General features: G+C 42.9%; 1 annotated feature.

Annotated features, from left to right (window-relative positions):
• Nucleotides 8,578–9,220: an enhancer, noted in NCBI's record as "OCT4-NANOG-H3K27ac-H3K4me1 hESC enhancer chr2:5146134-5146776 (GRCh37/hg19 assembly coordinates)". NCBI's record gives its function as "activates a minimal SCP1, AML or CMV promoter by ChIP-STARR-seq in naive and primed H9 embryonic stem cells {active_cell/tissue: H9 hESC(naive and primed)}" and the evidence as "EXISTENCE:reporter gene assay evidence [ECO:0000049][PMID:30033119]".

The following is a 14,093-nucleotide window of genomic DNA, read 5'->3' as shown; positions in this document are numbered from 1 at the left end:
TTACTGATGGAGAAATTGAGCTTTAGAGAGGAAAATCCATGCCCAAGTTTACACAACAAAAATCAATGGGCCGGTCATGGTGGCTGATGCCTGTAATCCCAGCACTTTGGGAGGCTGAGGTAAGCAGATCACCTGAGGTCAGGAGTTTGCGACCAGCCTGGCCAACATGGTGAAACCCTGTCTCTACTAAAAATCCAAAAAGTTAGTCGGGCATAGTAGTGGGTGCCTGCGATCCCAGCTACTTGGGAGGCTGAGGCAGGAGAATCACTTAAACCCAGGAGGTGGAGGTTGCAGTGAGCCAAGATGGTGCCACTGTACTCCAGCCTGGATGACAAGAGTGAAACTGTCTGAAAAAAAAAAAAAAAAGAAATCAGTGAGGCCAGATACAACCAGCACTATCCAATTCCAAACACAATTCCCTTCTAGTGAGCTACGCTGCCTTACCTGTAGATAAATAATTGTTAAATTTAAGACAAAATTGGATATCCAAGTCGTAAGTGGTCAGATTCTGGAGGCATTGTGGTCAGATTCTGGAGGCATTCAAAGTAGAAATAATACATTATCCAATGAGTGATTCTTTTTTCCCTAAAAACAGAAATGCATCACCATGTGCCTCCAATGTACATCACTCATCTTGGCTTTCCTACACATCTCCTAGCAAATGCCTTAAGCTCCACCACCAACAAGGAAGCTGTTCCACTTAGGTCGGCCATTCAGAATTCAATTCTCACATTCTCACAGGTGCTAACTTCTAAATCCCTGATCAAACACAACTGTTAATTAAGAATACTCAATATAATTCTCACCTCCAACATGTGTCAACTCCACACTCCCTGATCAAGCTGAAATCTGGTATGATCCCCCCACAATAACTGTTTACATGCTAAGATCGCACTCTCTGCAGAGAGGTAGACAAGTACTACACTTTCTACATTTGGAGGTAATTGTATTCGCCACTGTGAAATTCACCATAACAGTCTACATGAAGATCAATTTTATGGAAAATATAACAATCACAAAGCCGTGAAAAATAGATTGGGGCAAAACGTATGAGATTTAGTTGTTCCCTCCATTGCTCTTCTAATATTCCTGATGAAATGTCCATGTCTAAAATAATAGCCAGGGGAGTTTAGAAGCATTGAATTTGATCCAGTTGTGAAAAAATAAGCATACAACTATGAGATTGCCATAGATTTTTGGTTGTTTTTAAAGTTCAAAGAAATAGACAATAAAGCATGAATACAAAATGACTTTTGAGAAATAACGATGATTCTGAGAAAACTATTAAACGAAAAAACAACTCTTGGCATTAGCTATGTTGGTCTGTTTCAGCTGTTTGACTTGAGTTTGGAGAATTTGTATGTGGGAATGGCATAAGAGAATAATTCACAGGAATTTTTTCATTGACATTTATAAGATACAATGAAAAGAACATAGGATTTAGAGTAAGACAGACTCCAGTTTAAATCCCAGTTCCTTCTGATTTCAAGATGGCTTAATGCTGGTTCAGTTACTCATTCTCTATTGCTTCAGTTTTCTCCTCTGTAACATGGGGAGTAAGAAAAGCACAGAGAGCAGTACTGGTCGGTAATTCATAAGTGCTAATATCCTGCAGTAACCACCTACATTGAATTCTAGACTAATTTTCTGTTTAACTTGGAGATGTATGAGTTACGTTAATATTATAAAGGACTTTAAAATGTAGACTTTAAAGTGAAAAATAAGTTTGAAGTGTGCAGGCTTAGTGCACAGCCTCACCCACCTGGAAGGTATTTCTACTATGGTAATAAGTGGTGGGTACATGGTGTTGTCTCCTTCAGCTAAGAACAAGGGCCAGAATCAACAGGCATTCCTGTCTCACTCGCTCTCTTTTGCTACAGTTTGTTCCAAATTGATATGGTGTGGCTGTGTCCCCACCCAAATCTCATCTTGAATTGCAGCTCCCATAATTCCCACATGTTGTGGGAGGGACCTGGTGGGAGATAATTGAATCATGGGGGCAGTTTCCCCTACACTGTTCTCGTGGTAGTGAATAAGTCTCACAAGATCTGATGGTTTTATAAGGAGTTTCCCCTTTCACTTGGCTCTCATTCTTTCCTCACCTGACACCATGTAAGACATGCCTTTCACCTTCTGACATGATTGTGAAGCCTCCCCAGCCACATGGAATTGTAAGTCCATTAAACCTCTTTTTCTTTATAAATTACTCGGTCTCAGGTATGTCTTTATCAGCGACATGAAAACGGACTAATACACCAATCTTTTAATTAGACCCTAGAAAACATAGAGCTTTTCTTACAAAGAGAGAAGATATTTCAGATCCAAGACACCTTGGCTCTGGTGCTTTCTTTCTTGTTCCATATTTGCCTCTTTAGTTTCCATTAATCTTCATGACTCTCCCGAGATGTGCTCTCTCTTCCTCGTATTAGCTATGTGATCCCCGTATTTCCCTATCTTCTAAAAGCTTCAAGTATTTCATGTGTTAAATGAGATAAGACAGTTATGAGGATTCAATAACATTGGCTCATCCTTGGCACTTGTTCAGCATCAGCATAGGTTGGTGAGTTCTTTCTTCTCTCCAATCTTCTCTTCCATTGTATCCCCCCCTCCTATTCTAGCTACGTGTTTCATTTGGAAGCCAAGCTTTTCCACTTTGCTGCTTGATTTCTGACTTACTGATTTGCCCCTAACTTTTCGACCAGTGGCCGCTCTTATGTCTCGGCTGCACATTCACAGCTCATAAAAACCCTGACTGCGGTGCTCTACTGAGTCCTTAGAACCGGATGTCTGCTTCATCTACTTCCTGTAACAATGCAACCTTCAAGAACCATGGCCTAGGAAAGGATCATAAGCCCCTTCCCTGGGCAGGGAGAGAAAATATGGAAGGGTTAAACATGTCACACTTTTTTTCAGTTTTCTATTGCCAAATATTTTATTTCAGAAAAGTCACCAGACCTCATACCTACTACTTGTCACTGAGACAGACAAGTGACCCAGAATTTCTATTCTCCACAGTGATTGATTTAGTGAGCTGGCTTATAAAGTGATTCTTCACTTACTATTTTTTTTAAAACTTTCATTTCTATTCTTCTGGACTTCTGGAATAATGTTTGGTATGCGAGGCTTGACTTGAAAGCTGGCATTTTACTTTCTGTGTCCCAGAATTATAACTTTGCTGCTCACAAGAAGGGAGGCTCCATCCAATCATTAAAACTTCTGGACTTTGGATGTTTAAAGGGAAAGAATTGTAATGGATCTGTATTGCATGTTTATTCAAGGAAAAATATTCCTTTTTTGCTTCACGTGGAGCTCATGCTTGGAAAAAATAAAAACAAAAGCAAACTACAATTCAATGGTATTGTAGTCTATAAACTTAAGTACATGTTTCCATTCAATTATGTATCAACAGAGAGCTGCTAGTGCGAACTTCTAGTTGGCACATAAAATACAAAGCTACCAGCCGTGGGGCTGTACTGACAGAGAAGTTGGATGTTCAGAAATCACAGGTGTAGCTCAACCAGGACAAGACAAAAGGGCAAGTTTGACTCTCCTAAGTCATTACTAAGGAATTCATTCAGGAGACCAAATGCCATGGCCTGGAAGACAACATCTAAGATTCTAAAGTCTAACAAATAAAAGAGCAAAAGGGAATCAAGCAGGAAGTACCTGAGGAAACTGAGATGAGCACTGCAGCATTTCTAAACTGGACTTTCCTTATCAGTGGGTGCCGGGGATGGGAGAGGTAACTCAGTGATGGAGCACGGAGAGAACATGTCACCACGTTGAGTGAGACAGACAAAGTGAGTAGAAGAAGGAGGGGAAAGACAGAAAGGGAGGAAGGGATACAGGAAGCGAGGGAGGGAAGGAAGAAATGAAAGAGAGGAAGGGAGGAAGAAAGGAAGGAAAGAAGGAAGGAAAGGAGGGAGGAAGACAGGAAAGGAGGCAGAGAAAAAAGGATGAGAGAGAAGGAAGGAGGAGAGGGAGGGGGAAGGGAGAGAGGAAAGAAAAATGGAAAGGAAAGAAGAAAGAAAAGGAAAGAAAGAAAGAGAGAAAGAAAGGAAGAAAGAGAAAGAAAGAAACAGAAAGAAAGAAAGGAGAAAAGAAAAGAGAAAAGAAGAAAAGAACTAAGAAAGGAAGAAGGAAAGAAGGAAGGGAGAAAGGGAGGAAAATGGAAGAAATGAAAGGACAGAAAGAAAGAAAGGAAATAAATTGATTGTTGAGTCATTTTCTGTGACTTAAATGATGAATGTCTAATTTTTTATTAGGCTCTTTAAAATACTGAAAGTGGTGTCTACATCGTTAGAGTTTCTTTCTTAAACCCAGAGGCAGAACCACTGCATTGGATGATTGATGAGGTAATCTTTAGTTGTGTAGAATTCATAAGGTAATCATTAGTTAAGTAGAATATGATATACTTATATAGTAAAAACTTATTTAACTCACCTGGTGTTAGCCTTATCTCTCGTGTGTTGCAAAGAAATCCACCCATGTTTGCTAAAGGCAATGTAAAGTACACCTGTAGGTAAAAGCATATGGTTTTCACTAAATCAAAAAAATGAAGAGCTCTCTAGGGAAAAGTGAATTATCTAATCTGATAAGTTCCAGGCAGTCATATTATGAAGGAATTTTAAGTTTCAATAAATTAAGCAAAGTAGAAGCCCATGTCATTTCTATTCCCACATCATCTAAAATTTCAGAAAATAAAGTTGTAATATTTTTGGATGGTGGGCAAAATATAGATTAGCAGCCTATGTTAATTCACTTTTGTATGCACTGGAACCCACTGCAAAGGGAGAAGCGTGCATTTTCACAGCAATTAGAATTACATTCCTGCACGAGGGCCATGCGCCTCTGGATTAGAAGATGTGTCACCCAAATATAGGATAAAGCAACAGCCCGAGAAGGCAAGCAGTGGAATCGCCTCCATGCACCATCCAATATCACCAGGGCTGGCACTAAACTTTTCGTGCATTATTTTTTTCAAGCTGCTTCTTCTTTTTTTTTTTTTTTTTTCAAGCTGCTTCTTATGTGGGCACCTCTATTTCATGGCTTCAGAGGAATGTGCAGCATTATTCTCTTTAGCAATGCGGAAGAGGTTGGCACAATAATTTCTTTCCTTTAAAATGTTGTATTTGACTATTATAAGACATTTATTCATCATTACAGGTGACAAATTTTGAGCCCTTTTAAATTTATCTTCATGAGAAAGTTCTGAAATGATGCAATGGGAATATATTTGCATGCTTAGTAATAAGACATTAGTAAGTAGATAACACCTAAAGAATCACTATCTCAGGTGTGAGAATGAAGTCCAAAGCTAGGAGAATGGTTAGGCAGGTGACAAATCCAAGGTGAAAACGGTAGAATCTCCTCCATGATGAGAAAAAGACCTAAGACTGGTCTTAAATTTCAGTCACTGGGCTGGGTAAGAAATGTGGAGAGGGGCGAATATTTAGGGTATGGGGTAAATAAATGACAACGAGTTCAAATTCTGATGAGGCAGTCTCAGAAATCAAGAACTGAATCCAGAACGAAGGCTCTGCTGTGGCGCCTGGGCTTCAGAAAGAGTGCCCTAGTAGCCAGGAGAAAGATGTCCTTGAAGAAACACATTGGCCTTGTTCAAACGACAGGCCTTGCTATTATGAGCGTTGACACTGTAGATGTTTGAGGTGAGGGATGCGGGAGTACGGCTCCAGGATGAGAAGAGTCAGGAAAGGAAGCAAGGAGTTAATTAAGTGGAAGGGAAACAAAGAAGAAAATCTACTAGAACCTGGGTCTATTCAAAAATCGAGGCCTTTCTGAAATTTGCTTCCATCTGCTCACACCGGCATGACAGATGGGCAGCTTGAGGGTCTCATACTCACACACCCAGGCCCACAGCGAGCCCAGATCCTTTTCCAAATGACGCCACTTAAGTGCATTTTCCTTTCTAGACTTAATCTTTTCCTACATCTGTTCTCTCTAAAATATTCATTCTAGGCTGGGCATAGTGGCTCACAGCTGCAATCCTGGCACTTTGGGAGGCCTAGGCAGGAGAATCACTTGGGCCCAGGAGGTTGAGACCAGCCTGGGCAACATAGTGAGACCCCATCTTTAAAAAAAATTAGCTGGGCATGGTGGCATGTGCCTGTAGTTCAAGCTACTCAAGAGATTGGGGCAGGAGGATCACTTGAGCCCAAGAGGCTGAGGCTGCAGTGAGCCATGATTGCACCACTGCACTGCAGCCTGGTCAACAGAGCGAGAACCTGTCCCAAAAATAAGATAATAAAATAAAGTAAAATCCTCATTCTGGGGCAAAGAGTGTAACATATAAATGATTATTTCTGGTTTTGTCGCTAGTTCTCCCAATTCTGCATCCTATTTAAGTTTTGGTATCCAGAAGCTTTTCCTGACTGTTGCCCTAAGACCTTCCGACCATCTGGAGCCATTCTCTCCTACCTCATTCCCAGTGGAAAGTGAGGTTAGGTATTCAGCACTATATACACAATGTCCCTAATGCATATTCCACAGTGTTTAATGACTTACCAATTGCCTTATGTTCCTACATGTTTGTAAATACATCAGCTGCTGAAGACAGGAGGAAATGGTAAAATCAGCCTGCAAGAAACTCTGGAAGACTTTTTACTGGATTCTCCTTTGAATGGTACCTGTGGAGTTTCTCTTAATGAGCTGAATTGGTTTCATTATTTGTAATTGAGCTGCAGGTAACTCCTTTAAAAGGCAGATTATTCCCCGAGAGATGTGAGCAGAACACTCCTGGCCTGCCTGTGAGGCTCTGGAATGCCCTGTGGGTCTCTCTGGTCCTGACTTGGAGCACTTAAGGCTGATGCTTCTGGAGCTCACAGCCTTTCATTTGCAGACTATACATTTTCCTTCTTTCTTCCAAACCTCATGCTTTCCTATTACTTACCTCATTGTCATCCGCTAACCTGGAAGTACTTCAGAAAGTCAAAGTTCTCTTCCCTTTCCTCTTTTTCTACACTCTTGTTATATTGTTATTGTTTAGCTTTTTTAATTCCAAAATGCTTGGGAGCAATGCTTAACACCAACTGCATGGACTCCTCTCTGACAATCTCTGCAGAAAACTCCCCAGATTACAAACTGACTCTCAAGCACCTCCGTGTACTTGGAATATCTAAAGGAGGAATATGCATATGCTATACTTATATACTTATCACACACACACAAGCCTGAATCTGAGGAGTTCAGTATGTTTCAGAGAAAAACAAAACAGTCTTCAGCAAAGAACTTGGGTAATCAAACTCTGTATTAGTTTGGTGAAAAGTAGTTGCATTTTTTGCCATTAAAAGTAATGACCAAAACCGCAATTTCTTCTGCACCAACCTGATAGAACTTAAATGCTTTTGATTTAGTCACATTTCCTGAAGCATGACTCGTAAATGAGGATATTTAAAAGGGCAGCATTGTTCATGGGGTGGAAATCTGGCCTGAGAACAGAAGAGATTATTTCTAAGATGATTCGATCCCTGGAGGAATTTAGACGAGTCGTTTGTCTTATTGGAGACTCAGTCTCCACATTTTAAATCAAGTCACTGGGAGCAACAGGCATTCTGAGATGATGTCTGGCTCAAAAATCCATCTTCTAAATTCAAATACTTTACACCGAATGATTTCGTTGCAATCTGTATTAATGTAACTGTCCAGAAATTGGGGTAATCTCACTATTTTGTATTTTTAAAAAATAAATGTTTTGACACAACGAATTTTGATCTACAGAAAAAAATCACAGTCTCTGTAGAGAGCTCAGGGAATGCTGTTAAACCTCATGCTCAAGTTCTCCTAGTAAAGATCTTATTTAGCATAGTATAGCCTTTTACAATTGAAAAACAATACATTCTTATTAACTAAAACCAATGTTTTATTTAGATTTCTCTAGTTTTTACTTAATGTCTTTTTTTTTTGTTCCAGGTTTGCAGCCCAAAACCACATTCCACTTAGCCACCATGTTTCCTTAGGCACTTCTGGGCTGTGACAGCTTCTCAGGTTTTCCTTGTTTTTGATTACTTTATAGGTTTGAAGAGTACCGGCCAGGTATTTTGTAGAATGTCCTTTACTTGGGATTTGTCTGATGTTTATCTCATGATTAGATTGGGCTGTGGGTTTGAAAAAGGAAGACCACAGAGATAAAGTGTCATTGTTATCACCTTATATCAAGTGCATATACCATCAAGATGACTTATAATTGTTGATGTCACTCTTCATCACCTGGCTGAGGCAGTGTTTGTCAAGCGTCCCCTTTTTCTGGCTGTACTCTTTGAAAGGAAGCCAGTATGCTCAGCTCACACCTAGGGGATGGGGCTGTGGATTGCACCTCCTTGGAGGTAGAGCATATATGTTGTTTGGATTTTTTTAAAATTGTTTCTCATTCTTATTTATTTCTTTATTCAATAATATATTTACATCAGTATGGACTCATGGGTATTGGCTCTATACTTTAACTTATAATCAAATCTGTCTTTTTTATTTTTTTCATGCGCATCCGTGTGAAGAGACCACCAAACAGGCTTTGTGTGAGCGAAATGGCCGTTTATTTCACCTGGGTGCAGGCGGGCTGAGTCTGAAAAGAGAGTCAGCGAAGGGAGATAGGGATGGGGCCGTTTTATAGGATTTGGGTAGGTAAAGGAAAATTACAGTCAAAGGGGGGTTGTTCTCTGGCGGGCAGGAGTGGGGGTCACAAGGTGCTCAGTGGGGGTGTTTTCGAGCCAGGATGAGCCAGGAAAAGGACTTTCACAAGGTAATGTCATCACTTAAGGCAAGGACCGGCCATTTACACTTCTTTTGTGGTGGAATGTCATCAGTTAAGGTGGGGCAGGGCATATTCACTTCTTTTGTGATTCTTCAGTTACTTCAGGCCATCTGGGTGTATACGTGCAAGTCACAGGGGATGCGATGGCTTGGCTTGGGCTCAGAGGCCTGACATTCCTGCCTTCTTATATTAATAAGAAAAATAAAACAAAATAATGTTGAAGTGTTGGGGTGGCGAAAATTTTTGGGGGGTGGTATGGGGAGAGAATGGGCGATGTTTCTCAGGGCTGCTTCAAGCGGGATTAGGGATAGCGTGGGACCCTAGAGTGGGAGAGATTAAGCTGAAGGGAGGTCTTGTGGTAAGGGGTGATATTGTGGGGATGTTAGAAGAAACGTTTGTCGTATAGAATGATTGGTGATGGCCTGGATAACGGTTTTGGATGAATTGAGAAACTAAATGGAATAACAGAAGGAGAAAAACAGGTATAAAAGGTCTAAGAATTGGGATGACTCAGGATATCTGATTAGAGAGTGCCTAAGGAGATTCAGCATAGTCCTGCCAGCAAAGATTATTTATTTACTTCAAGAGTTAAAAGTGGCAGTTTGGGGATAGCATCAGGAGATATCAGCTATGATGGCTTGGAAAAACAGTATAAACTGGCAGTGTAAACAAGAGCAGGGCATGTACGAGTAGTTGAGAACAGTGAATAGGAGTATGACTAGACAGAAGATAGTAGGGATGACAAGTTTTTGGGGGCACAGTCTAAGTTGGTCTGGTGTCTGGAATGAGACTGGGGCCTAATAAAAAGGAGCATCTATACAGGAGCTTAAATGGGCTGTACCCTGTAGCATTCCGAGGACAGGCCTGAATTCTGAGAAGGGAAAGTGGTAAAAGTATTGTCCAGTCCTTTTTAAGTTGGTGGCTGAGCTTGGTGCAGTGTGTTTTTAAAAGACCTTTAGTCCATTCTACTTTTCTTGAAGACGGATGACCGTAAGGGATATAAAGGTTTCACTGAATACTAAGAGCCTGAAAAACTGCTTGGCTGATTTGACTAATAAAGGCTCATCTGTTATCAGACTGTATTGAGGTGGGAAGGCTAAACTGAGGAATTATATCTGACAGAAGGGAAGAAATGACTGCGGTGGCTTCTCAGACCCTGTAGGAAAGGCCTCTACCTATCCAGTGAAAGTATCTACCTAGACTAAGAGGTATTTTAGTTATCTGACTCAGGGCATTTTGAGTAAAGCTAATTTGCCAGTCCTGGGTGGGGCAAATCCTCGAGCTTGGTGTGTAGGGAAGGGAGGGGGCCTGAATAATCCCTGAGAAGTAGTAGAATAGCAGATGGAACACTGAGAAGTTATTTCCTTGAGGATAGATTTCCAAGATGGAAAGGAAATGAGAGGTTCTAAGAGGCGGGCTAGTGGCTCGTACTATAGCATAACCTGCCTTTGCTGGTGTGTGGCGATTAGGCCTGGTGGAACCGCCATCAATAAATCAAGCATGATCAGGGTGAGGAACAGGAAAGAAGGAAATTTGGGGAAATGGGGTGAATGTCAGGTGGATCAGAGAGATACAGTCAAGGGGGTCAGGTGTGGTATCAAGAATAATGTGGGAGGCCGGATTGAAGTCTGGGCCAGGAACAATGGTAATTGTGGGAGATTCAACCAAGAGTGAGTATAGCTGAAGGAGCCGGGAAGCAGAGAGTATATGCGTCAGCTATGAGGAAGAAAATAGATTTTGGAAGTTATGAGAACTGTAGAGAGTGAGTTGAGCATAGTTTGTGACTTTGAGGGCCTCTAAAAGTATTAGGGCAGCAGCAGCGGCTGCACGGAGACATGATGGCCAGCCTAAAACAGTAAGGTCAAGTTGTTTGGACAAAAAGGCTATAGGATGTGGTCCTGGCTTTTGTGTAAGAATTCTGACTGCGCTAACCATGCCTAGGAAGGAAAGGAGTTGTTTTGTAGAAGGTGCTTGGGTTTGAGAGATCAGTCGGACACGATTGGCAAGGAGAGCACGTGTGTTTTTATGAGAATTATGCCGAGATAGGTAACAGATGAGGAAGAAATTTGGACTTGATTGAAATAATGGGGGCTGTCTGTGAAGCTTTGCGGCAGTACAGCCTAGGTAATTTGCTCAGCTTGATGGGTGTCAGGGTCAGTCCAAGTGAAAATGAAGAGAGGCTGGGATTAAGGGTGCAAAGGAATAGTAAAGAAAGCATGTTTGAGATCTAGAACAGAATAATGGATTGTGGAGGGAGGTATTGAGGATAGGAGAGTATATGGGTTTGGCACCATGGGGTGGATAGGCAAAACAATGTGGTTGATAAGGCGCAGATCCTGAACTAACTTGTAAGGCTTGTCTGGTTTTAGGACAGATAAAATGGGGGACTTGTAAGGAGAGTTTATAGGCTTTAAAAGGCCATGCTGTAGCAGGCGAGTGATAACAGGCTTTAATCTTTTTAAAGCTTGCTGCGGGATGGGATATTGGCATTGAGTGGGGTAAGGGTGATTAGGTTTTAATGAGATGGTAAGGGGTGCATGATCGGTTGCCAAGGAGGGAGTAGAGGTATCTTATACTTGTGGGTTAAGGTCGGGGGATACAAGAGGAGGATGCAAAGGAGGCTTTGGATTGGGAAGAAGGGCGGCAATGAGATACAGCTGTGGTCCAGGAATAGTCAGGGAAGCAAATAATTTAGTTAAAGTGTCTCAGCCTAATAAGGGAACTGGGCAGGTGGGGATAACTAAAAAGGAGTGCTTAAAAGAGTATTGTCTAAGTTGGCACCAGAGTTGGGGAGTTTTAAGAGGTTTAGAAGCCTGGCCGTCAATACCCACAACAGTTATGGAGGCAAGGGAAACAGGCCCTTGAAAAGAAGGTAATGTGGAGTGGGTAGCCTCCGTATTGATTAAGAAGGTGACGGGCTTACCTTCCACTGTGAGAGTTACCCGAAGCTCGGCGTCCGTGATGGTCTAGGGGGCTTCCGAGGCAATCGGGCAGTGTCAGTCTTCAGCTGCTAAGCCGAGAAGATCTGGGAAGGAGTCAGTCAGAGAGCCTTGGGCCAGAGTTCCAGGGGCGCTGGGAGTGGCTGCCAGGTGAGTTGAAGTCTGATTTTCGGTGGGTTCCCACACAGATGGGACACGGCTTAGGAGGAATCCTGGGCTGCGGGCATTCCTTGGCCCAGTGGCCAGATTTCCAGCATGTGTAGCAAGCTCCTGTGGGAGGACGTTCTGGAGGAACGCCTGGCCGCTGCGGTTCAGGCATTTGGAAGTTCTTGTGTGCTGGAGATGTGGCTGGGGTTTGTCTCACAGTGGAGGCAAGGAATTGCAACTTTTTTCTATTATTGTACACCTTGAAGGTGAGGTTAATTAAATCCTGTTGTGGGGTTTGGGGGCTGGAATTTAATTTTTGGAGTTTTATTTAATGTCAGGAGCAGATTGGCTAATAAAATGTGTTTTGAGAATAAGACGGCCTTTTCACCTTTTAGGGTCTAGGGCTGTAAAGTGTCTCAGGGTTGTTGCCAAACAAGTCATGAACTGGGCTGGATTTTTATATTTGATGAAAAAAAGCCTAAACGCTATCTGATTTGGGGTAAGGAAAAGGAGCATTAACCTTGACTATGCCTTTAGCTCCAGCCACCTTTTTAAGAGTAAATTGCTGGGCAGGAGCGGGAGGGCTAGTCACGGAACGAAACTGTAAGCCGGACCAGGTGTGAGGAGGGGAGGTGATAAAAAGATTATAGGGTGGAGGAGCAGAGGCTGAGGAAGAATTGGGACCTAGCTCGGCCTGGCGAGGAGCAGCCTGGGGAGGAGGGGAGAGGTCAGATGGGTCTGTAGAAAAGGAAGATTAGAAAGACTCAGCGACGCTTGGGGTTGGTACTGAGGGGACAGGCGGGAGGGAAAGAAGGAAGATTTGGGACGAGTTGCACTGGGCACAGAGACTAGGAAGGGACTGATGTGTAAAAGAATGCCTGGACGTCAGGCACCTCAGACCCTTTGCCTATTTTACGACAATAATTATTTAGATCTTGCAGGATGGAAAAATTCAAAGTGCCATTTTCTGGCTATTCGGAACTACTGTCGAGTTTGTATTGGGGTCAAGCGGCATTTCAGAAGAAAATAAGGCATTTAGGTTTTAGGTCAGTTGTGAGTTGAAAAGGTTTTAAGTTTTTGAGAACACAGGCCAAGGGAGTAGAAGGAGGAATGGAGGGTGGAAGGTTGCCCATAGTGAAGGAAGGAAGCCTAGAGAAAAGACAGAGTAGAGAAATGGAGGGAAGGGGTTTGGGGGTTCTTACCTTCCAGAAAAGTGGGAAAAGGGGTTGGGGCGCAGAGATAAGAGGTCGGGGTGTGGAAATAAGGGATGGGGTGCAGAAATAAGGGGTCAGGGCATGGAAATAAGGAGTTGGGGCATGGAAATAAGGGGTCAGGGCACGGAAATAAGGGATTGGGGTGCAGAGATAAGAGGTCAGGGTGCGGAAATAAGGGATTGGGGTGCAGAGATATAAGAGGTTGGGACATGGAAATAAGGGATTGGGGTGCAGAGATAAGAGGTCAGGGTGTGGAAATAAGGGATTGGGGTGCAGAGATATAAGAGGTTGGGGCATGGAAATAAGGGATTGGGGTGCAGAGATACGAGGTTGGGGTACTTGCCCCTCCTCTAGAAAAGTGGGACTTGCTGTTAAGAGTGAAGGAGAAGGGGTTGAGGGGTACTTTCCCCTCCCCCAGAAAAGCAGAGAAGGGGTAGAGACAAGGAGAGAAGGGGTTGTGGTACTTGCCCCTTCCCCAGAAAAGCGGGACTTGCCGCTAAGGGTGAAGGACCAAGGCAGGCGTCCTTGCGTGGTCTGATACCTTTGAAATATGGGTGAATAATCAGAGAGATGTCCCTGCAATGATTAAACACCAAGGGAAGGCTGCCTTCCCAGTCCGTGACCGGCGTCGGAGTTTTGGGTCCACGGAAAAAACGTGTCTCCTTCGTCTCTCCCAGAAAATGAAAGGAATTGAAATTAAGAGAAGGGAGAGATTGAAGAGTGGAAAGGAGAAAGTGGTTGAGGGACAGTGAGAGAGGTTGAAGAAGACAGTAAGAAGAGGCCGCTTACCTGATTTAAAATTGGTGAGATGTTCCTTGGGCTGGTCGGTCTGAGGACCTGAGGTCGTAGGTGGATCTTTCTCACGGAGCAAAGAACAGGAGGACAGGGGATTGATCTCCCAAGGGAGGTCCCCTGATCCGAGTCACGGCACCAAATTTCATGCGCGTCCATGTGAAGAGACCACCAAACAGGCTTTGTGTGAGCAACATGGCTGTTTATTTCACCTGGGTGCAGGCAGACTGGGTC

The sequence above is a fragment of the Homo sapiens genome, chromosome 2 (assembly GCF_000001405.40).
Source record: "Homo sapiens chromosome 2, GRCh38.p14 Primary Assembly".
In the NCBI taxonomy this organism is placed as follows: domain Eukaryota; kingdom Metazoa; phylum Chordata; class Mammalia; order Primates; family Hominidae; genus Homo; species Homo sapiens.
Note: the sequence above shows the minus strand (reverse complement) of the source record. Positions and strands in the feature narration are given on the sequence as shown.